Source organism: Homo sapiens, chromosome 4, assembly GCF_000001405.40.
Source record: "Homo sapiens chromosome 4, GRCh38.p14 Primary Assembly".
In the NCBI taxonomy this organism is placed as follows: Eukaryota; Metazoa; Chordata; class Mammalia; order Primates; family Hominidae; genus Homo; species Homo sapiens.
This window is the reverse complement of record NC_000004.12, coordinates 76,572,576-76,597,921: the sequence shown is the minus strand read 5'-3', so window position 1 is coordinate 76,597,921 and position 25,346 is coordinate 76,572,576. Positions and strand designations below refer to the sequence as shown.

Here is a 25,346-nt window from a genome sequence, read left to right as displayed (position 1 = left end):
GGGAGATTGTAGAAAAATAATTGCTAAATGCCAAACAAATAAACACTGACTCTTGCTGTCTTAGCCTTGTCACCGTGTTAGATGGGAGCCTTTTGGTTCTCCCACACTCAGCAATTTGGAGATTACAACACGGGATCTGCTTCCTCAAGTTACATAATCCCTACTCAGATCGCTAGAAGCCAGATCTCATTTAGCAATTATTTCATTAACCTATGATTAAGAAGAATAAACATCTTGGATTTCAGCTTCCTGTCCTCTCTTGACAAGTTCACTAATAGATCTGTCACTGAACGTTTTGTCCTTCACTGGCTCCTGCTCCTTTCTTTCATCTTCTCCTCCTCCCTGTCTTGTTCTACTTAACAAGAGCCATCCAGCTGGAGGGTGGGTGCGTGGGAATTTGTGGGACCCTCTACTCTCATAAATGTTTATGCCACTTTCATAACAAAATAGTAAAAATAAACATTAAAAAAAGATCTATCCATACTTCCTGAATGACAGTCTCAATGTCTCATATTTCCACCTTCCAAGGGATTTTTCTCATGAGTCCAATTGGCCTGCCCCGATAGCCACATTGATTTTGTCTATGACTTCACTCTACTCTCCTAGTCACTCACTCCTCGAATCCTTTACTAATTTCCCACTGATAGGAAACCACAATTCTCTTCTCCTATTTAAGTCAGGCCAAAAGGAATACAGCCACCAGATTTAAACTCCCTGTCAAAGGCACTTGTATATCTGAAATAAAGTCATTTTATTTATGAAACATGTACTTGTCAGTAGGGTGGTCTCTTTTGCTGAGTCTCTTTAGGAAAGACTTGGCAGATATTACACCCTTTTATCAGAGACAGAGGTTACTGTCTCTCCGTTGCCGTCTATTCTAGGAGAACAGGTCCTGATCAAGCCCCAGTTGAAGGGGTGAGGCTAGACCAGCTCTTCCTCAGCTATAGGCAGAGCTGTTCACATTGCGGCTGGTGCGACCTGGTGCTGGGGCAAGGCTGAGAGTGTCAGGTGATAAGGCTCTAGAGCTGTGGGGCACATGGGGTAGAGCCCAGTGATGGCTCCGGGGTGAGCCAGGGCCACACACTAGTAGATGTAGGGGACAGAATCCCAGAAGCTTAGGAGAATGCTTCTGATGGGATTTTGTTATTGTTGTTGCAAATGACACAGTAACATTGAACCCACAGAGAAAATCAAGCAAAAATGGGAATTTCTTGAGAAGGCCAGGGATGGAGATGGCCTCAGGGACTGGAAATTATTGTCAGGTTCTTCCTTGGGAGAGGCAGCATCTGTTGGAGAGTGTGTGTGTGTGTGTGTGTGTGTGTGTGTGTGTGTGTGTGTGTTTCTCTGTACCTATCTACCTACCTATACATCTAGACACAGTCATGCATTGCTGAATGATGGGGATATGTGACCAGAAATGCCTGATTAGGCAATTTCATCATACAAACATCACAGACAGTATTTACACAAACCCAGATGTTATACACAACATCTTTTGCTTTTCTTTTTAGAGACAGGGTCTTGCTCTGTTGCCCAGGCTGGAGTACGGTGGTGTGATCACAGCTCACTGTAGCCTCTACCTCCCAGGCTCCAGCCATCCTCTTGCCTCTAACTCCCAAGTAGCTGGGATCATAGGCACAAGCCACCACACCTGGCTCTCTATTTTTTCATATGAAAATGTCCCAGCACATTACTGAATATCAAACATTTCCCCTACTTGATCTGCAGGGATAATATCAAGTACTATATATCACTTCTGTGTATGCTCCATTATCAGTTTATGGAACCACTGTCATGCATGGGGTCCATCATTGACCCAAATTATTATGGGGTGCATGACAGTATATAGACAGAGAGAGCAAGGTGAAAAAAAAGACCTCACTTTTATCTTTGCAATAGGATTCAGTGTGTGTGCATGCAGGGGTAAAGTACACAGAAAACAACCATGGAGCAGAGAACTTCAGGTTTACCTTATCCCAGATTAACAACTGCAAGAGTTCTGCCTCCTCTTAGACTCCATGTACAAAAAGATAAAATTACAAAGAAACACTCTGATTTGCCTGGCTTAGAAACTTGCTTATCTAAAACAGGCCCTCATAATTGTTTACTCAATGGTTACTGTCCCCTGTTTTACTCCACAAGTATAATTTTGATTCCATTGCAGGATCAGATAATGATGTGCTCAGAAAGGCAGCTCCTTCATCACCCTAAGGGATTAACCATGCCTGGTCTATACTATTCTTGGTAATCTGACTCCCTGCCAGTTACTAGTGTAGGCAAGGATATAGGACATAAGCCTAACTAATGAGATCTGACTCCTAAAAAAAGAGAGTTTGCAGGAGGATTTTTGAAAAAGTATTTCTCATTCTTGATGAAATACACAAAACTAGAACTCCTTCCCTTGTTTGGACAAGACTCTGTGAGGACGTGATGCCTGGAGCTGCAGCAAACACCTTGCAACCATGAGGAACAAATGTAAGGAAGAAAATCATCATGCTAAGGGTGGCAGAATGAAAACACAGACAAACCTGGAGCTTTGATGACATCACCATGCCATTAAATTAACCCTGGCACCATGTCTGTCAGAAAGCCAGTCTGCAGACAGAGCAATGGAACTGACGTTCAAAGTCAGCTGAAATGAACAACTATGTAATCCAAAAAGAAAGTGAATAGCTGCCTACTTTCTAAATAATAATAAGAGTTAATGGTTACTGAGTTCCTATTACGTGTCAGGCAGTGTTCCAAGTGCTTTATATGTATTATCTCACTGAAACTACACAACAACACAACAAGGTAGAAACTTTGATTATTCCTTCTTTTTAGACAAGTAAATGAGGTTCAGAAATATGAGGTAACTTATCCAAGGTCACAAATTCAGCAATGCCAAGGTTGGAACTCACATGCAGGCCTTCTGACTCTAAGAGCTTTTCACCACTAAGTTAATGTTGAGGTGTTCCTGGCTTCCTATAGTTGGATTTCACAAGCTTCCTTCATATCTTGATATCTTCATCTCTTTTTATTTGAGTTGGTCTTAGTGGGTTTATGTTCAATACACCCAAATGTTCCCTTAGATACTGGCATTGTCAAGATTCAGGCTTCCTTTCTCTACTCCATAACAAATCTGTGAGTCTCAATGTCCATTTGTTAAATGCACCAAATCCAGATTTGCACTGATTTAGTGGAATTCATGGCGTTCCAATGGTTCCCTGTTCCCTCCCCAATTGTCACATAGCAGGTGTTAGTCTGACATCAGGGTCCTTTGGAGCTACACTTCCAATGCAATGTGATTTATTAATTAAACTATGAATGAGTGCCTAACAAGGGATGAAATTGTTGACACTGGTTCAAACACTGTAATTGTCCCATGATGTCCTCACCTCTAATTTTATGTTTTTTAACTTTTCAAAGTTAAAGTTTTTATGTAAGTGACATCCTGCGATTACATACATCTCTGTGACTCTTGAGACTAGGATGGCATTTCTATGGCCTTACTATTGTTTATTCATGTCACACCCTCACTCCCTCACTCAGTCAACAAATATTTGAGTATCTGCATGCACCAGGCGCTACACTAGGCACTGGTATCAATAGGTTATGTTCTCTGCCCTCACAGAGGGCAATAAAGTGTAATAATATGCCATATCAGTTTTCCCTCTGAATCAACAGGAGAGCTACAACAAATAAAAAGAGCACATAGGATTAGACATTTTGTGGATGAGAAATCCAATGTAGCAGCTAAGAGCACAGACTCTGTTGACAGATGACCTGGGTTCAAGTCCCTGTCACTGTGAGACTTTGGATTAGTTCCCTGTATCTCAATTGTTTAACCTGTTAAATGGGAACAAAAACTGTAGCTCTGTCATTGGGTTAAGAGAGAGAGCATTTTTGCAAATCACTGAGAATGTAATAAGTACTGCAGAAATGTTTTTCCAAAAGAAAAAACAGCTCCAGTCCACTCTGCCCACTGATCATAACCGAGCAACCTGGCAGCCAGCAGTAGCGATGTGACAATATTGGAAACTGCAAACAGGAACACAGCATCATCGGTGTTGGGAACTGGGGTTCCGGGCACCAGGACCATGGTGACACTGCAAGAAAATGACTCCACTAGCCACTGCCCCTAAGTGAAATAGGGCTTCTACAATCAGTTGCTTCTGGCTCTCAGAATTCCTAAACTAAGGTGACTTTTCCTGAAGAATTTGGTTTTTAATAAGCAGATCTTGGAAGGATGAAGCAGAAGCACAAATTTGGAAGGGATCTTAGAAGTCAAGTTCTCACCCAAATTTTTAAAAAGAGTTTACTTTGCTTACTAATTAGAGGAATGCCATAAAGATTACTGATTTACAACTAAAAATATACAACACATGTCATCAAAAATAGTGGAACTTGTGAAGCCAAAATATTAGAACTTGACCAACTAAATAAATAACAGGGCCAGTCATCGTGGGTGGTTTTATCATTCTTTCAGATTTATATTAAATTATATCATCTGTGTTCTTTACTGTCTTTGGGTTGAAGAGGTAAAAACATGGTACCTTTCTGGGTCATTAATTACATGATCTCTGGTAGGATGCCAAATCCTCTAGGGGTTATTTCTTAACCCCAAAGGGCTTCTTTTAGTATGTCGTGTGGATAAACTCAAACCCCTCTGACTATTGATTGATTAATCAGCCTCTCCTGAAGCATTTCCAGTGATGAAGGTGCACATTTTTAGACAGATCTTTTCATTCATTCAGCATCTCTAGTTATCATCAATAATTCCTTTTGTTGCTCCCAAATCACTTATGGTGGTTCTAGAGCAAGAATATCCCTGACTCTAAATGATGGTCTTCATATGCTTGGAGAAAAGGATTCCCTGTCTTGTTCTAATTTCCTGAGCTAGTCATCACTCGACATAAGTTATGACCCAAGTCCCTCAGGTTCAAAGGAGATCAGCATAATCTAGACATTCAAAGGGGTGTCCAGGAAGATCATTTTAAGAAAGGGTCACTGAAGTGCCTCAAAAGGTAATCTTGCTTCTGGACTGTGGGGAGAAGAAAAGCACATTGACTCCTTATTTTCATTATATCTGCAATATGCTCCTCCCTACCTCGAATCCTGCTGCCTAGAAAAGGGAATTGATATCAGAACTCAAACATGAGTACGTTGTGAGATCATGCGAATTCAGTGGAATTCAATAAGACTTTTGTAGCTGAAATTGGAAGCAAATGTCTCAAAATACACCTGTCCCTAGAGAGCATGGACTTGGTACTTTCAAAATGGAAACAACGATTTAGCTTAGTCAGGGCCAATTTCTTAAAAGCAAGCTTTTTTTCTCTGTACGTGTGACGATATAGACTTGGAACCTTCTTAGCTGATAGAATTTAATGTTTAAGAGGCCAAGGTTGGGAGTTTAATTCTCATAAGAAACAATTAACTTTGATCAGAACAAAGCTCTGTGCTGTGTGCTCACATCATTCCATCCTTAAATCCTAGACTATGTAGTGGTAATAATAAGCAAATGGATGACAGCTAACAAGTACCGAAGATTTTCTGTGTGCTAGGCACTCTATAGAAGGCTTTACACAAATTATTTCATTTAATGCTCACAACTGCTCTGTGAAGCAAGTTCTCCTAGGATTTTTTCAGAGTAAAAGCTAACTGCCTCCCAGTGACCCACTGTCTCTCTGCCCCGCCACATTCTGCTCCACCCACACTGGCCTCCCAGCTCTTTCCCAAACACGTTTGCCCCAGGGCCTTTGCATATGCTCTTCTCTCTGTCAGCAATGCTCCCTAGGTAACCTTCAAGGCTCATTTTTTCCCCTCTTTCAAGTTTTCTTTTAAATATCATCTTCTTAGCAGGTCCTTCCACCACCCCCTAAAAAATTGCAATACGCTCTCTGCCATTATATGATGTACTTCTCTGCTTTATGTATTTTCCATAGCAGTTATCATTTTCTAGCCTATAATACAATTGACTTATTTTTGTGTTATCTGACTTGTTACCTGTGTCACTTGACTAGACTGTGTGCCAGAATTTTTGTCTACTTTTATTCACAGCTCCAAACTCGGTACCTAGAAACCCAGCTGATACATGGTAGGCACTTCCTAAATATGTGGTGGTTATATTTTATATGGGAGGCAATATGCACAAAGAGGGTATGAGTCAGGACTTTATAGAAAGAAAAACGTCATTAGGAACCTGTGTTTCAGAAACAAAACTTGAAGTACATATCCCTTTCCGGGTAGGTTGGCGCCATTACTAAGGGCAATGTAATAGATCTAAATAACACGTAAATAGAGGTTGGCGCCATTACTAAGGGCAATGTATTACATCTGAATAATATATAAGTAGCAATACACACTACCAATCAAGAATATAAAGAAGTATTCCAAGTGTGTTGCATATTCAGGAATTATGTAATAATAGTCAGAAATCACTTGGAATATTTTGCGACTCTTCTGGGAAATTTCATGTCACAAAACTTGAGGGAAGTGTGCCAAACTAAAAAGTGAAGGAGATCTAAAAGTTCTCATGAAAATGTTTTCCCAGGGTTGTGCCACAGCAAGAATGACAGTGTATAATACTTCTTTATAGACGCCATTCAGATTCAAGGATCTTTTCCCAAGTTCCTTTTAGGTGATTATATTTAACCTCCTTAACAATGCAGGAATCAGATTTGCAGATGAGGCACTGTGCTCTGACAGGCCGTGTGCCTTCCTGAAATAGCCTGGTAAGGGGTACAATGCGGAACAGAATAGAATTCTTTTGTCTCTGTCTGGCATGCCTGCCCAGGCTTCATGTATTTATCATTTTACAGTATCTTCTATCCTGAGGAAAAACCTCAGTTTTTGTAAATGACTAACTTAATGTCTCATCAATGAAAAAATATGAAACTATAATTATTACTTTCCCTACCTATTTTTCTGAGGTCAGCTGTTGCACAGATTCGATATTCATACCGGAGGGCATACATCATCATGGTAAAATTAGTGTCTTTGTCTGAAGTTCATTTCACTAACTAAATAGCCAGGCATATAAAGCTCACATTATTACAGAGGGGGAAAAATGCAGCTGCCGACAGGATCGCTAAGAACAACAAATACCAAGAAAATCTCAAAAAAACTGACCACTTTTTTCCTAACCATATTTTTGCTGACTATTTTCTCCACAGCCTTGGAAACTTGTTTTCACCTCCATTCTTTTCCAAAGAAAGACTTCTACCCCGGGGGAGAAAAAAAAAAAATTAAGACCTCAACACCAAGTACAAATTGCTCATTTAAAGAACAGGAATGTAGGATGCGGGGGCTTTTCTTCCTTAAAAACTCATCACTGTGTAGAAAAAATCTGAATGCTGTCCTGATTCTTCTTGAGCAGTGGAGCAGTTTTTTGGTTTTGTGTGAGTTAATTTTAATTAAAAAAAAAAAAAAAAGCACCATTCTTGAGAAGCTGTTGCTATGAGACTTCCTGGGCCACAACAGATGGCCACAAGAACAGTTCTCAGGCCTGAGCTCGGAGCTCTGCGGCCTCCACTCAGGCATACCATTAACATTCCTGAAATACCTTCGGAGGCAATGCAGGCCAGCCACCTTCAGACGGCTCACCCGCAACTGGCCTCCCTGGTCAAGGGGCCAGGGTTGAAATTTGTTATAAACTAAATGATCAGGTCTTTCTAGGAAAAAGCCAGAGGAGAGAGGGTGCTGTCCTCAATTTAGGCTTCAGGAAAACTTTACCAGCAACCCGCTGGGGTTTTGAGTTGTTCAGGTGAGCACACACCCAATTCATTTCATTGTTTTAATGCTCTCTCTTTCAGTCACAGAGTGATCCAGTTAAGAGAACCAGCATATTTTTGGCCTGAAGCATTTTAGTGCCCAGAGAGAACTGCTCAGGGAAAGGTTTAAGGATCCCTGATTTCCGTTTTGACAGAAAGACAAAAAGGGAAGGAGAACCGCATGGTATTTGAGGTTCTAATTTCTCACTAACTTCTTGGTAGTGTTGGACAAATTCTTCCATTTCATTCTTTTTCTCTCTCTCTTCCACACTAGGATAATGATATATGACCTACCTCAGATGGAAGAACTAATGATCCACGATTAATAAACAACTGAGAAATAAATGCATAAGTATCAGGTCACTGAGACTGTGCCTCCACTGCTGTGAGAGTAAAGATAAGGGAAGAACTTGGAGATTCCCTTCAGAGGCTGATTGCTGGGACCCCCGCCCCTGGAGGGCTGATGGGCAATGTGGAACACATGTTTTAGTGGGCAGAGTCTACTGGTAGCTCTACTGCTTACTAGGGAGCTTTGGTACTTGGAAAAAACCAAGTGTTTCTGAGCAGCCATAGCTTCCCAGGGTGGGGCTCATTTACATTCCAACACCAGAGTTTTTGCTTTAAAGCCAGGCTTCCAGTGCAGAAGCAAAGTCCTCCTTCAGTGACTGATGCCAGGAGTCTTTTTTCTTTTTTTTTTTTTTATGAGACAGAGTTTCACTCTTATCACCCAGGCTGGAGTGCAATAGCACAATCTCAGCTCACTGCAACCTCCGCCTTCTGGGTTCAAGCGATTCTCCTGCCTCAGCCTCCCGATTAGCTGGGATTACAGGCATGCGCCACCAAGCCTGGCTAATTTTGTATTTTTAGTAGAGACAGGGTTTCTCCATGTTGGTCAGGCTGGTCTCAAACTCCCGACCTCAGGTGATCTGCCCACCTTGGCCTCCCAAAGTGCTGGGATTACAGGCGTCAGCCACCGCACCCAGCTAGGAGTCTCTTGATCACTTGTGGAACATCACTCATTCTATCAGTTTTGGTTCACACAAGTTTGTTGAGAGCTTTTATCTCAATGGGATCAGATGATATGCCACCCATACCGCTCTGCGGCTATCATTTGGGCTTCATTTTTTAAACCAGTCAGTCCAACTAAGAAGCAAAATTGTGTGAGACAGCTTAGGTTCATGCCTTCCAAAATCATCCATTTGTATGAAAGTATACCTTCCCACCCGTCACCAAAATGTGATCATTAAGACTGCTGGGGATTTTTTTTTTGTTTATTTTTTGTTTTCTAAAAAACATGCCTTTTAGGGGTTTGGCCTAACAAGGAGTGCTACCTTTTCCCTATTAACCAGCGACATTTTAATGAAGTCATCTATGGAGGGGTGGAGGTGAGGAAGCTGTTTCTTTTTCCATGTGTCTAGGGCTACCCAAACTCAGCTTGCTTGTCTGCTCCCTATGGCCAGAGCACATTGAGCTAAGGGAGGTCTTCACCCAGCTGCTCAGCTTCTGAACCTACAGGCCTCCCCAACCCCAGGAAAAGTCAGGGGCCAAGGCTGGACACTGTGGGGAGAAGAAGGGGAGAGAGACAGAAACAGAAAGAAGGTGTCTGATGTTTGCAACCTTCCATTTGCAGAGCTGAACCTTCCAAGCAGAGCCAAGGGGGTGCACAGCATGTGTCTAGGAGGGGGAGGCTGCGTGGCTTTCTTGTGCCCCATTGTGTATTGTGCTGTCCACAGCACCAGTAGGGACCCTCACCAGACAGCAGTCAGGGAGCCTGGCAGGCATTCCACAGTTCCTGGAAGGAGGCTTTTAAAAATGGTCACTCGGGAAACAATAAACTTAAGATACTTAATCCCCTTGCCCTCCAATCTAACTCTCTAATGATATTGTTCTTGGAATAAAATATCTATTTATCATAGTTATTAATGAATGTGTTAAATTACATATTTGGAGTGCCCTGGTACTCTGCAGACCTGAACAAGGGCTTTCTACACTCTTAATATGAAACGTGGGGTTTGTGACTTTGTTTACTTTTAAGTATTGTTAAGAAGTTTTTCAACCAGCTCTCTCCTCTTCCTTTCTGTACCTTTTTAGGATACTGGGGTTTTTATGGAAGACAATGATTAGGGCTAAGATTAGGGAATAAGATGAGGGTATTTATCCCTCTCCATACAAAAAATGATTTACACTTAACTCAGGAAATTACCTTTGATTTATATATTCTCTAGGTTGTAATTCATAACCGAAGGTAGATTTTTGAAATATAAAAATGTTCAATATCTATTTAGCTTTCCAATGTTCATTTCTCTTTAACAACTTCAACATTTATAAATTCACTTTGTGTCTACCTACCTATGGATCCATATTTTAAAATCACTTGCATATACACTATATTTTTAAGTGATTGCTGTAGACTTGTGTGATGATCATATTTCATCTGATGGGTAATGCCATTTCTGGTGCTTTTATTCATCAAAGCAGTAATTTTTATGTTTATATTAAATGTCACTAATGTGTTATTTTATTATAGGAAAATGTTTTTATAAAGACACTTTAGCTAACTGCTGAAAAAAATGGAAAACTCCAACTGGCTGTAATCATTGGAAGAAAAAACACACTTGAGGATGATTAGCACAGATTTTGAATGACCTGTTTGCCCTATTGCTGTTTATCACTTGAACAGAATCATTGAGAATGGGTAAACACCTTCCTTTCATGAAGGTGTTTACATCCTTGAAATTAATGAGGTGGGAAAAGTAGTCTCAGAACCTCTTTAGATTTATAAAGAGAACTTTACCCATTTTCAGAATGTTTTCAATGAAAAAAATTTAAATCCAAGGGAAAATTACCTTCCTTCCTATCACAACAAAACAGACAGGGTGAAAACACTAGTCCCAAACCACCAGTCTTTTTTATCAATCTTCAATTATTAAATCCTCAAGTTACAAATACGGTGACAGCAACCCCAGAGAAAAGACAGGATGGTCCCTGAAGTATGTGTCAATTGATTTACAAGTAAAATGAAATCAGAGCATAGTTAAGGATTAATCAGAATCACACAGAAGCACGTTCTTAAGCATCTCAACTGTTGCTTAAATGTAGGTGCTTGCATTTATAATCCGACCTTCTCTGAAACATAAAGGATGAGAAGAGTGAGCCAACCAATCAATACAATCCAATTTTGCTGTTGAAGTGCAATTCATTGATTCACCCATGTCGAACAAACCTAAAAAAGAAAAGCTGCCTTCATATCCCAAATAAGAAAGTTAAAGATAGCTTTAAAAATAAGTTATAATTAAAATTAGGCTGTAAATCCTGAGGTTGCATGATTGGAGGGAGCCAAGATGTTCAGGCTGACTTGGTCTTATTATACAAGTTAGCATATATATTTGTTGGCCTTAACTAAAAGTTACTTTACTCTGTTATCATTTGAGCTTCTCATCAAATAGGAAAAAGTGCCCGTTGCCTGAGAGGACTAGAGTCATTTGTCAAGCTCTCTCCTCCCCATGTACATGTTTCTTTATTCTTTTATATTATTTTGTCAGCATATCTGACAGCCCAAAACCTTGGTGATTTCATCACAAAGGCCTAACTTGAACAACTTCCCTACCTCTCTTTAGTTTACCTTCCCAATGCTGGCATTTCTGCCAACATCGACGGAGAAATAATGTCATCGAGAAATCGTTGGTTTAAAATGGACTTACCTTAAGGAAGTCTATGCCCAGGCAGGTCCATTGTCCTCAGTTATCTGTTGGTCATTTCTGTCCTGCGTGACACTGGGCCAAGGCTGGCCCACCGCGGGGGCTTGGTGGCTTGGGGGAGGTGGCCTAGAGGCACGGTTCTGGCCCAGGAAGGATCCGCAGGAGCCAGCCCGAGGAAGACAGAGCTGAGACACAGGTGTCTGACACCACAGACGCACCTCCGCTGGGAACCTGGGCTGCCCTGATTAGCCAAACACAAAAGGCAGTTTGAATGACTGCCTCCTCCCGGCCAATCGCCGGCCGCCTGCCTGACAGGAGCTGGCCCGCTGATGTAAGGGGAAGTCCACTCGGCCAGAACCTGAGAACCGGTTTCCACCGCGCTGGCACGCCGACTCCGGCGTGCATTCCCGCCGCCACTTGCAGGAGCTGCCTGTCGTGCTGTGGTGTCCTGCCCGTCCCCAACAAGTGTCGCTCTAGGGTCCTCTGACTCATAAACACGACGTGCTGTGAAGACCATTAAAGCGAAGGTAAAGAAGAACACAGCGTCGGCAGCTTTATCTGCCCTTCCTCCCAGCCCTGGCGAGTCGGGCTTCTTTGTAGCTAATTAAGTTCAATTTTTAATTAGCTATGTTTTTTGCAAGCAACAGTTTCTTCCAGACACTGGGAGAAGAGACAGGAACAATAAAGAAAGATCTTTCTACAGTCATTGTTCTCAACAATGAAATTCAGTATTATAAAAATCACCACAGACATAAAAATAGATCATTTATAATAAAGATGCTGCTCATAAAAAAAGACAAAACAACAACACCACATCGCATCTTAAAATTCAGCACAGTGGGGTGCGATGCAGCCCGCCTTTGTAGATGAAATCATAACAGGTTTCCTAAACTCCATCCAGTTACAGACTTTACTTAAATCTATCATCTGAGGCCCTGAAACCGCAATCCTTCGCAGCTGTATGGATAAGTAGTGCTTGATTCAAGTTTGGTATTTGCCCCAGACTGTAGGGGTCAGCTTAACAGTAACCATAGACACAAAGAGAGAGAGAAAGAGAAAAGGAACAGCACACACAGAAAGAAAATGGGACTCCAAGAGTGTCTGAGTTTATGGGTATGTAAATGTATTTTCCTTAGAGCCATCATGATGGGAAAATAATTATAGAATACACAGACAATTTATAAATTTCCTTGCAAAAGAATTTGAACAAGATTTGCAGGTTATTTTTAGGCACAGAAAGAAGAGAGAAAGGGAGCATGCCCCCCTCCCCACACACACAGAATTCTGAATTCACAGTGGCATTATTTTCTACCAGCAGTAGTAATCATTCCAAACACCAACAAAGTCTGAAGCATCCTCAAAGTATCATTGCATTTCAAAGGTGATACTAATTTTATTGAAAGATTGTTCCTGTTTTAACTAGAATGTCTGTCTCTCTAGAATGTTCCACTTGAATTCCAGAGTTATTTATATCTCTATAATGTGAAATCTAAGGAAATGAAATTGAGGCAAATGTGGGATAGGAATGGGGTGGGGCACAGAATCATCTTTCAAAAGAAGAGAAGCCTCCCACTAGATCTGGCATCATAGATGCATTCGTTCAAAAGTAGCCTCCTTTTTTCTTAGGAAAGCACTGTTCTTATCCCAGCTTTATGTTTTCCTCTCCCCACCATGCAACCTCCCCAAAACACCACCACAGAGTGGAATTTCCTTCCATCATAGGCTACTCCCAGCAAGCCAGAGTTCAAGAGCAGCCAGGCCGTGCAATTCATTTTGAATATGTCAAATTTAACAACCTCCTGCTGCAGACCAGAGCTCATCTCCACTATGCGGAATGACGAATGGTCATGTTTGACGTTTGTTTATCACAATCAGCCGGCTAGTATGGGAACGCCATTCCTGAAAAGACCAGAACATTCACAGTAGTTTAAAGGAGCCAGGAGTGGACTCATTTGTGTCACCAGTCACTTCCTCATAGTCCAGCTCTGTCCAATTTAAGCTCACTTCAGATCCACTCTGCTCCAGATTCTCTGTGACAACATCCTCAACAGGTTGTGTTGGCTCAGGGAACTGTGTATATTGCATACACAGTCCTCATGGATGTTATGTTGTTACAGTAAAAGAAATCTATGTGACTCTTTTTTTTTTTTTTCTTTGAGATGCAGTCTTGCTCTGTCGCCAGGCTGGAGTGCAGTGGTGCAATCTCAGCTCACTGCAACCTCTGCCTCCCGGATACAAGAGATTCTCCTGCCTCAGCCTCCCAAGTAGCTGGGATTACAGGCATGTGCCACCACGCCTGGCTAATTTTTTATTTTTTTTTAGTAGAGATGGGGTTTCACCGTGTTGGCCAGACTGGTTTTGAACTCCTGACCTCAGGTGATCTGCCCGCCTCAGCCTCCCAAAGTGCTGGGATTATAGGCGTGAGCCGCCGTACCCAGCCTCTATGTCACTCTTTAGGGAAACTAAAACAAGGAAAAGTTAAAAGCAATTAAATAACCTGTCCTTTCACAAATTATGAGATGAATAAGGAAAGCATTGATATTTACAAAGAATGGATGCCTTTTAGTAATACTAGATTGAACCATATGAAATTGCCAATATTTGATAATTTTTGGTCCACTACAATAGAAATTTCATGTGGTTCCAACCTACAGTTGACCCATAGTTAGTAGTTACTATGTGTCGGTAGTTACCATGTTACATTCTCTAATCATCACCACAATTCTATAAGGTAAATATTATAATTATTACTCCAACTTTACAGATGTGGAAACTGAGGCTTCGAGAAGTAACTTGTTGAACATTTTACAGCCAGCAAGCAGCAGATCTGGAATGCACACCTAAGCAATCTGACCACAGAGCCCATGTTCTGAACCACCACCCTCTGAGATAAAGGCTTTGCATTCACCAGCTTTGTGATTGCAGGCAAATTATTCAGCTTTTCCAAGCGTCAGTTTTCTCTCCTCTGAAATGGGTACCTATCTGATGTGAGGACTGAAGGTGATGCTATGAAAAAGCACTTAGCATAGTGCTTGGTCTACAGGAAGAGCTCTAATGTTACCCAGTTGTGGTGGTATGGGCTGGATGGTCGCTCTTCCTACCTTCATCATGACCTGAGGTGAGAGCATAGAGCACGACCTTTCACCCTTGGGTGGTTGGGTGGCCACTCATGGACAGAAGAATGGTGAGCTCAGGGGTCCTCAAGTCTGGAGATGATGCCGTCCTAAGTCAGTGCAGACAACTCTGGTGCATAGGATGTTCTTTACACTGGAATGTGCACCAGCTCCCCTCATTTAGAAGGAAGACCATCCACACCACGCTGCTCCCCCAGCCCAGGTAAGACCTGCCCACAGCCCCATCTTGTATTTCCTCCTTTCTCTACATCTGAGTTCTAGAGAGCATTCAGACTCAGCTGTGATCAAAAACAAACGCATCTGTTCCTCATGTGGAATGCTCTCACAAACATCTTGACTTCTCACTTTCTACCTGTCCAGATTCTTTGGCAATCACTTGCAGAGGGTTAGGCCATTCTTGTTGGAAGAAGTAATGATGATCTAATCTGGAAGCAGTGCTGTGGACCCCGCTGCACACTGGACCAGAAGGGAGGGGACATTGCTTTCCCTTCTGGCTCTGCCACTGATTAGCACGTGACCTTGAACACGTTACTTATTGTCTAAGGCTCTGTTCCTCATCCTTGGAGGAGGCCTCTGGTCTAGAACATCACTCAGTGTCTTCCTAGTCCTAATATTTGTGGTGAAGAGAGGATAAAAAGGAATAAACTAGATGAGTGTTTGAATATGGTGCTTTCATTTTTTTCTCTCAAAGCTAGTAGCTCATCTACTCAAGCACATCCTGTTTTCTCCTAATTGCCATTTTATAAGCCCAGGGCAGGAGAGTTTTATGTTACTCTGTTGATGAACTGCAGACCAAGATGAATAGCCTTGATTTCTGAACACCAGATTTCCGCTGGTCTTTTTCCTTAATGATTTGCACATGGCCTTGTGAGGTGCTTGTTTGGGATTAGAGATGAAGGTCTATGGTGGGAAAGCTGCACAAAATAATGAAGACTGTGGTTTCTTTGCTCATTTTTTTTTTTTAATTTCTGGGTCTGTCCATAACAGTTAAACTATTCTCTAGGTGTTGTAAGGTAGATTGATTTTCTGTGTAAGGTAGGTTTAAATGCCTGTAGGGCATAGCCATTTAAACTCCCAGGAGGAACTTAGGAAATTTATGAATGGGGGAGCTAGAAACAGCCTCTTGAACTCTTGGTCTGGTTTTCTAAGAGCACTCACCAACTTCTAACACACTGTTTCATTCACATATGTATTGTGTTTGTTATTTATTGCTTCTGCTCACAAGAATGTCAGCTCCATGAGACAGAGGTTTTTGATTTTTATCATGGCTGAGTTCCAAACACCTAGAGCAATGGCTGGCATTTATTAGGTGCTTAATAAATAAACTTTACAAAATATGCAAAAGATTCAGGTAGAACAGGTGTCCTGTACATCTCACTTTTGGAAGTCACACTGCATCTTTAGAAGGAAGAGTGATTGTAGAATAAATCTCAATGGTGAGGGTAGAGACCAGGTCCAAGATGATGATGATGTGTTAGACAGTAAATGAACTTCGTGGGGTTCACGATTAGTTTAGCCCAACTCTGCAAATTCCCACATATAGGTTTCAGGTTGAAAGAAAACTGGGCAGTGAGCCTAGATAGAAACTCAGTAAGCTTAGTTTCTCCCTTATAGCCCATTTTCATTTAATTTCCTGGGAAATTGTATTTGTTGAACTCCAAGTATGTCTGAAAGAGTCAGATCCTTGAAAATGCTGTAAGGGAAGCAGACACACAGCAGCTGAGCCCAATGCTCATTTTACACTCAGGCAATCATTTTTTATCCCAGGCTGATGACACCGTAACTTTAACAATTTTGATGAGATAATGGCTCCAGGCTTCTTAGTATCATAAAAGATGTCAGTTAAGTCCAAAGTATTATTATACAATGCCTGTCCAGTATAATAACTGTAGGACATAAACCACTTATGATACAGCAATCGAAAGGCACACAAATGAAAATGACTGGAATTACAGATGAGAATCAACACATTTTTTCAATTTAATTTTGCTTCTTTTCTACTGGCCTAAAGTAATCATATCCCCCTGTTCTTTTTTCTCTCTTTCCACATTCTTTAATTCTTTGGGGAAACCAAGGTATTTCTTCACAAGAATGTTACTGGCCAGAAGGTAGCAATTAAAGGCATTGAACTCAATCATCCCTTCAAAGTCCCAACATCCCAGACAGGGAAAACCAAGTTACCATTTAGTGCTAAGAATAGCAGGTAAAAGAGTTACATTTGGGTTCACAATTTATTCTTAGGAATGAAAAAAAAAGCCTCTTGGAGAAAAATCATTGTGGAACACAAACTAGCATTATTAATGATCCATTTCAATCTCTGGGACAATTCCACAGCTAATATAAAGAATAAATAAGGCACGTTGTGCACATGTACCCTAAAACTTAAAGTATAATAAAAAAAAAGAATAAGGTGGAAAGGTAGAAGCACATATCAGTTACGTTTATATACTTACATATGTACTTAGTAGAGTGTTTACTAGGCATCAGGCAGGATATTAAATACATATTTTGTTTTAACTCTCTCAACCACTCCACTAGGGAGGTACTGTTATTATCACCATTTCCCAGCTGGAGAATCTCAAGCACAGAGAGATTAAAAACTTGCCCAAAGTTGGCGGGGTACAGTGGCTCACGCCTGTAATCCCAGCACTTTGGGAGGCCGAGGCCGGCAGATCACCTGAGGTCAGGTGTTCGAGACCAGCCTGACCAACATGGAGAAACCCCGTCTCTACTAAAAATACAAAATTAGCCAGGTGTGGTGGCGCATGCCTGTATTCCCAGCTACTCGGGAGGCTGAGGCAGAAGCTGCAGTGAGCCAAGATCACGCCGTTACACTCCAGCCTGGACAACAAGAGCGAAACTCCATCTCAAAAAAAAAAAAAAAAAAAAAAAGAACTTGCCCAAGGTCACAAAACAAGTGGTAGTAATAGGATTTGAAGCCAGGTAACCTGATTTCAAGTCATATGCTCTTAAACACTACTGCACATATTGGATTTACGGCAACTTCGGAATGGGACATAGATGGCATGTATGATGCTTAGCAGCTTTGGGTATTTTTCCAGGTAGCAGAATTCTCCTTAGTGAGGATATGCCACGCCTCTCCCAGCCAGATATCAGCAGAGGGGATCAGTTGAATGGCGCCAGCCAGCAGTAACAAGAGAGGTTGTCAAGCAATTAGCCTGATGATAATTTGGTATAATAAAACCTGCTTCAAATCATGATTTAAACTGACAGTGAAGAGAACATTTTTCCTTTCGCTTTCCTAACCCGGCATCTTGTGCTATGGTAGAAAAGGACGGTTTGAATCACAGTGGGACTAACAAACCCATGTGCCATGAAAAGAAATGTGACAGGAGATACGTACAAACAAGCAGTCAGCACATGATGCGGGGTTTTTCATTCACTCAACAAGCATTTCATGAATGCTTGCCGTGGACTGGAGAGATCAAAGAGTAAGACACAACGATTCTCTTCCCCGATTTAGGATTAAAAATCATCAACCAGTTCTTCAGTGGAAAAGATAACTTTGTCAGTTGGCTGGAGATGAAGAAGATAACTGGCCAACCAGTGTTTGTGTTACAAGGCTGGCAAACTCAAATGCTGACTAGACCAGGCAGGTGGAGTAAATGAGCAAAGCAACAGGTGTAGGATCACAGGAAACAGTGGGGCCCCAAGGCAAACTGGAGAGGGAATGCTTCATTAGACGTGGAAGCATGCAGCTCCAGCCCACTGCTGCCAGATCGTCTGACTTCTCCACAAGCCAGAAATCCAGATTATGCAAAACTTCCAGATTTTTAATGTGGATTAAACAAACATCTGTAGACCAAGTACTTGTGTAAGTTTGTTTGTTTGTTTGTTTATTATTATTTTTGAGACAGAGTCTCACTCTGTTGCCCAGGCTGGAGTGCAGTGGCACGATCTCGGCTCACTGCAAGCTCAGTCTCCCGGGTTCACACCATTCTCCTGCCTCAGCCTCCCGAGTAGCTGGGACTACAGGCGCCTGCCACCACGCCCAGCTAATGTTTTGCATTTTTAGTAGAGACAGGGTTTCACCGTGTTAGCCAGGATGGTCTCGATTTCTTGACCTCGTGATCTGCCCGCCTTGGCCTCCCAAAGTGCTGGGATTACAGGCGTGAGCCACCACGCCCAGCCTGTTTATTTATTTTTTGAGACACTCTGTCGCCCAGGCTGGAGAGCAGTGGCACAACCTCGACTCATGCATCCTTGACCTCCCGGGCTCAAGCGATCCTCCCACCTCAACTTCCTGAGTAGCTGGGACCATAGGCAAGCACCACCACACCCAGCTAATTTTTTTTTTAAATTTTTTAAAATTTTTTGTAAAGTCAGGGTCTCATTATGTTGCCAGGGCTGGTCTCAAACTCCCAGATTGCTGGGATTACAGGCATGAGCCGCCATGCCCAGCCAGATGTCATTTTTAAATTCGCACAAAAAACTTTATTAAATTCAGTGAGGCTTATTAAAAATAAAATCAACTTGCTTTAATAGTGGATTTGGTATGGGTGGGTCTTGTGATCCTTATCAAATCATTTAAAAATGTTTATTAAAGTGTAACATACACAGAATGGATAAAGTGTACTAATCTATGTAAAGGGTAAAAATGATATAGAACATTTCTAACACCCACAAAAGGTTCCATCAAGACCTTTCCAGCTTATTCCAGACTTTCCAGCCCACCTTGGGTCTACATCATAAATGAGCTTTGCCTATTGTTGTCTCGTTCACATCTTAGCCATGAGAAACTGATAACAGATATAGTTGCATCAAGTCTGAAAGAAATAAAACTGTGTTCAAATAAGTAAGGTACAACCAAAAAGAATGATGGTAAACTCAACAACCCCATGCAGTTCACAAAGTTAGCCAAGAGCTCTGGTGATTACTGCTTTCACACACCTCTTCTTTCTGATAACTACCATCTCCTGTGCGGTTACCATATGCCAAGTACTTGCTTGTCACCCTGCTTCTGCATAGAGGATCTCATTTAAGTACCACAAAAACCCCCTGAGATACAAATTTAGATAAAGTTTCCTCCAACCGTATAGCTAAAGGAAACTGAGTTTGTAATAGGTTATGCAGCTAGATTCACACAGCCAATAAGTGAAAAGTCCAGATTCAAAGTCAGGGCTACTCCAAAGTTCAAGTACTTTTCCATTGCACTCCATAGCCTCCCCATAAAATTAGGGGTGTGTTTTCTTAGCTCTTCCACAAAACTATGATAACCTTCTTTTCTTAACCAGGAGCATAATAAACCTTATTTAATTTAGAATCTAAATTCTGAATGATTTACATTATAAGGATTGGTGGAGGTGTGGGTTATTAAAAGATGACATTACCTAGGTACTTAAAAAAAAACAATGAACACAGTAAGAAGAAGAGAGAGAAAATATATCACTATCTTTTATTAACATAGATATTATCTACCTTTATTTACCTAAACCAATTTCCTGGGGCTTATGGAAACATTGTCTTATATGAATATAGTTTTGAGACAGATGGCAGAATTTGATGTTTAAAGATTCTTCTCCCTCTCAGAAAATGTATGCAGCATGGAAATGGAGTTAGAACAGTGGTGGCTGCAGAATTTCTTATAAGAGGGGCTAAATGTTAGCAACTGGATTGTGAAGGAGTTATAGGGGACTTGTCTTGAACCTGTGTTACGCATAATAAGTTCAGATTTTACCTAGACTGGAGCATTTTTCTAAAGATTCTTTAATTCATCCTTTAACAAGATTGATAAACGTGAATTGTTATATTAAAGAATATTATTTTATTGGGTAGACAAATAATACAGGAGGCAGAGGTATTGGTCTACAGCCCCACCATCTTCCAATACCAGTCCCTGTCCTTTATTGCTGCCTCTAGGGAGGCTGGAACCATTCACCTGATGCCAAATGATTGGAAGAACAGGGCAATGAAGGGACTTAGAATAATTCCTAGTTAACCAATGTACTGCTGACAACAATACACAGTAAAGAGTAAACAATCAGACCTTCCCCAGCACCTCGTCCCTTTGGTGGATGGGGAAATTTGATTTGCCCATATTTTTAATGTAGAAAGATATAGACCACTAGGAATTAATTTACACAGAGGGCTTTTTAGCCTGTGATATGCGAAAATTTCAAGTATAGATTATCTTTTATCTCAACAGACACACTGACACCGATTACCCTTTTGGAACGCTAGAGTCAGATCTATTTGACCAGCTCCTTCTTATACTTTAGGTAGATCAGAAATTCAATTAAGGTTTGGTGAAATACTCATGTTTACCAGGAGCATTTGTTCCAGTATTCAGTTCTGAACCCTAACCTCCAGGATTACGTTCAATGAATAATCAGCTGAGTTGGCCATGTCACCATTCACCAAATCAATACCTATTGCTTAAACTGTTTTTAACCCAGTTTTTATTTTTGCTTTAATCACCAAAGTCCTTTATTTTTATTTTTAAAAATTTAATTTAAAAATTAAAAATATTTATAACAAAATTTACCATCTTACCCATTTTTTATTTTAACATTTTAATTTTTAATTTTTGTGGTTATAAAGTAGGTGTATACATTTATGGGGTACGTGAGATGTTTTGATACAGGCATGCAACACATAATAATCACATCATGAAGAATGGGGTATCCATCTCCTCAAGCCATTATCTTTTGTGTTACAAACTACCCAACTACACGATTTTAGTTATTTTTAAATGTACAATTACATTATTATGGATTATAGTCACCTTGTTGTGCTATCAAAGAGTAGGTATTAGTCATCCTACCTTTTTGTATGCATTAACCATCCCTACCTCCCCACCAGCCTCCTACTACCCTTCCCAGCCTCTGTAACCATCCTTCTACTCTCTGTGTCCATGAGTTCCATTGTTTTGATTTTTAGATCCCACAAACAAGTGAGAATATGCAAAGTTTGTCTTTCTGTGCCTGGCTCAATTCACTTAACATAGTGATCTCCAGTTTGATCTATGTTGTTGCAAATGGCAGGATCTCATTTTTTTAAATGGCTGAATAATATTCCATTGTGTGTAAGTACCACATTTTCTTTATCCATTCATCTGTTGATGGACACTTAAGTTGCTTCCAAATCTTAGCTATTGTAAAGAATGTTGCAACAAACACAGGAGTCCAGATACCTCTTAGAGGTACTGATTTCCTTTCTTTGGGGTATATACCCCATAGTGGGATTGCTGGATCGTATGGTAGCTTTCTTTTTAGGTTTTTGAGAAACCTTGAACTGTTCTCCGTAGTGGTTGTACTAATTTGCATTCCTACCAACACTGTACGAGGGTTCCCTTTTCTCCACATCCTCACTAGGATTTGTTACTGCCTGTCTTTTGGATATAAGCCATTTTAACGGGGGTGGGATGATATAATATCTCATTGTAGTTTAGATTTGCGTTTCTCTAATAATCAATGATGTTGAGCACATTTTCATATATCTGTTTGCCATTTATATGTCTTCTTTTGAGAAGTTTAACAATATTGATTCTTGCAATTTGTGAACATGGAATATCTTTCCATTTTTTGTATCTTCTTCAACTCCTTTCATCAGTGTATTATATTAATAGTTTTTATTATAGAGATCTTTCACTTATTTGGTTAATTCCTGGGTATTTAATTTTATTTGTGGCTATTGTAAATGGGATTACTTTTTAAATTTCTTGTTCAGATTGTTCACTGTTGGCATATATTGGGCTGGTGCAAAAGTAACTGCAGTTTTTGTCATTACTTTTATTGGCAAACACTGCAATCACTTTTGCACCAACCTAATAGAAATGCTGCTGATTTTGGTATGTTGATTTTGTATCCTGTGACTTGACTGAATTTGTTTATCAATTCTGCTAGTTTTTTTGGTGGAGTCTTTAGGTTTTTCCAAATATAAGATCATCTTATCTGCAAATAAAAATAATTTGCTTTCTTCCTTTTCAGTTTGGATGCCTTTTCTTTCTCTTGTCTAATTGCTCTAGCTAGGACTTCCAGTACTATGTTGAATACCAGTAGTGAAAGTGGGTAGCCTTGTTGTGCTTCAGATCTTAGAGGAAAGGCTTTCAATTTTTTTCCCATTCAGTGTGATACTAGTTGTGGGTCTGTCATCTATGGCTTTTATTATGTTGAAGTATGTTTCTCCTATACCCAGTTTTTTGAAGGACTTTTATCATGAAGGGATGTTTATCATGAAAGGATCAAATGCTTTTTCAGCTTCACTTGAAATGATCATCTGGTTTTGTTCTTCATTCTATTGAGAAGATATATAGTATTGATTGATTTATATATGTTGAGCCATCCTTGCATCCCAGAGATAAATCCCGCTTGGTTGTGATGAATGATCTTGTTGGTGTACTATTGAATTTGGTTTGCTGGTATACCCGTTTTTTAAGGGTGCACTTCAGTGGCATTAAGTATATTCCCATTTTTGTAGATCCAATGTCCAGAACTCTTTTCATCTCGCAGAACTGAAACTCTGTACCTACTCAACAAAACTCCCTAATCTCCCCTCCCCCAACCTGTGGCAACTGCCATTCTACATTTTTTGTGTATGAATTTGACTACCCTGGGTACCTTATACAAGTGGAATCATTTACAGTATTTGTCTTTTTGTGACTGGCTTATTTCACTTAGCATAATGTCCTTAGGGTTCATCCATGTTGTAGCATATATCAGAATTTCCTTTGCTTTTAAGGCTATACATTTCTTTTTTTAATCACAAAATGATTTGAGTTTATGTAGCTAATCAATCAATTAGATTAAGAGGGAGTATCCGGTCTGTCTAATAAGAGTTTAGGCATGAAAAATGGTAAGAAAGGCGTTGGTAGAGAGGGAGAGAGAGAATTTGCTGAAATATTTAATGCCATGGTTCTTTAGGGTGCATCAGAATCATGGGGAAGACTTGGTAAATCAGATTGCTAGGCTCAAACTCCAGAGTTCCCAATTCATTAGGCTTAGAGCAGGGCCTGGGAATTTGTATTTTCCAGAAGTTCCTGGGCATGATCACACTTTTGACAACCATTGTAACCTATCCAGGGTGAGGCCTAGAGGATTCTAATTGCCAAAATTTTCCCATCGTGCAAAGAAGATACCCCTCCCAACTAAGACAAGAAGCTTGAAGTTATAGAAGTAGGGAAGCACAGAGAAGAGTGAGAAATAGTGAGAAAACCCAGCCCTCAAGATCCCAGCAACTTGTGGAAATGAGGGAAAAGATGGTGGCAAGTCAAGCTGTGAGGACCAAGTTCTGATTTCTCTTCTAGCCTCAGGGAGGAGAGGGAAAGTGTGTGAGCTAAGTGAGGAGAATGTCAAAGGGCTCAGGGAACCCTGGCTCCACTGCACCATTTGAGACCCTAGGAGAAGGTCACTGGAGTAGGTCTGGCCTGGCTCAATTTCGAGGTCTCTAGAGGTCCAGACAGAAGGAAGAATCTCAGACATCAGACGGCAACCAGCAGACTTGCAAGGAGGCAACTATGGTGGGGTGAGATGATCCTAGGATGGGCCCTGGGTCAGGAGTTGCTGGGATGAGAGTTTGGCAGATGCTAAGTTGTCTGAAGCTAAGGGGAGCTGAGCAGAGACTGAATCTGTAAGTGTGGGGTTGCCAGCAATCCCAGGGGCATTGCCCAGGCCATGGCTGACCATGGATTTACCAGCTGCAGGATTCAGCGTTGGAGGCCAGCAGTGGCTGGGAAGGCTATGGACAGAGCCAAGGGACCAGGGGAGATGGTGCCAAAGACCTGCGCTCACCACTTCTCCAAATCCCCAGACACTGTTTAGCAAGACAGCTGGGCAGTGGAGAAAAAAGATGACATCTGAGCAAGGGAGGATTTTATTTCAGACTGAGCCCCTTAAGGGACTATTCAAATTGATTGGACCAGGTGAGCTTTTAACTTGGCCAGGAATAAAAATTATTATTATTATTATTATTATTATTATTATTATTATTATTATTATTGCCAACCAGCAGAAGTGGGTTTGTAAGGAAGACAAGGAACCTACATTTTTTTCTATACATCTAAATTGTCATGTGACTAGGTTTGGTAGATAAAATTGGGTACCTACTTTGACTAAAATAAATTCAATGATTATCAGAAATTCAAATTTAATAGGACATCTGTATTTTTAATTGTTAAATCTGGCCACCTTACCTTGTTGTGCCTGTTGAGGGCAAGTGACAGATCTAAATCTCAATTTTATTGAGTTTCAAGCTTGTGTTCATATTTCTTTCTTTCTTTTTTCTTTTTTATTTTTTTTTTGAGACAGTGTCTAGCTCTGTCACCCAGGCTGGAGTGCAGTGGTGCAATCTCAGCTCACTGCAACCTCTCCTCTTGGGTTCAAGCAATTCTCCTGCCTCAGCCTCCCAAGCAGCTGGGACTACAGGCGTGTGCTACCACACCTGGCTAATCTTTTGTATTTTTAGTAGAGACAGGGTTTAACCGTGTTGACCAGGCTGGTCTCGAACTCCTGACCTCAAGTGATCCACCTGCTTTGGCCTCCCAAAGCGCTGGGATTACAGGCTTGAGCCACTGAACCCAGCCTGTGTTCATATTTCATAAGCAGTTGGGTAGCAGAGAAAACTAGTTCAGAATAAATCTCTTCCTACCCACAAACCATAAAGGGGCAAACCCGTACACTGTTATACTGCTAGAGCTGCCCCTAAAACATGCCAATCACTTTTTTCCAGTATATTCAAGATGCAGATATTTACATTTGAACGATCACAATATCCCTAGAAAACAACTCCCAAAATTATGAAATGAG

The 25,346-nt window shown here is 40.9% G+C and overlaps 1 protein-coding gene and 2 non-coding genes across 3 annotated transcripts in view, besides 1 other annotated feature; all 3 read right to left on the bottom strand.

The window, feature by feature from the left end:
* SHROOM3 (shroom family member 3) overlaps positions 1-25,346 on the bottom strand; it is a 348,025-nt gene that overhangs the window by 185,332 nt on the left and 137,347 nt on the right. The gene's annotated exons all lie outside the window — the stretch shown is intronic.
* Positions 11,546-11,615: an enhancer, noted in NCBI's record as "active region_21629". NCBI's record gives its function as "activates an Ori minimal core promoter by ATAC-STARR-seq in GM12878 lymphoblastoid cells {active_cell/tissue: GM12878}" and the evidence as "EXISTENCE:reporter gene assay evidence [ECO:0000049][PMID:35858748]".
* MIR548AH (microRNA 548ah) lies at positions 22,296-22,371 on the bottom strand. The gene has a single exon (NR_039655.1). It is a non-coding gene; the product is annotated as a microRNA 548ah (primary transcript).
* Positions 24,290-24,354, bottom strand: MIR4450 (microRNA 4450). Its single transcript, NR_039654.1, has one exon. It is a non-coding gene; the product is annotated as a microRNA 4450 (primary transcript).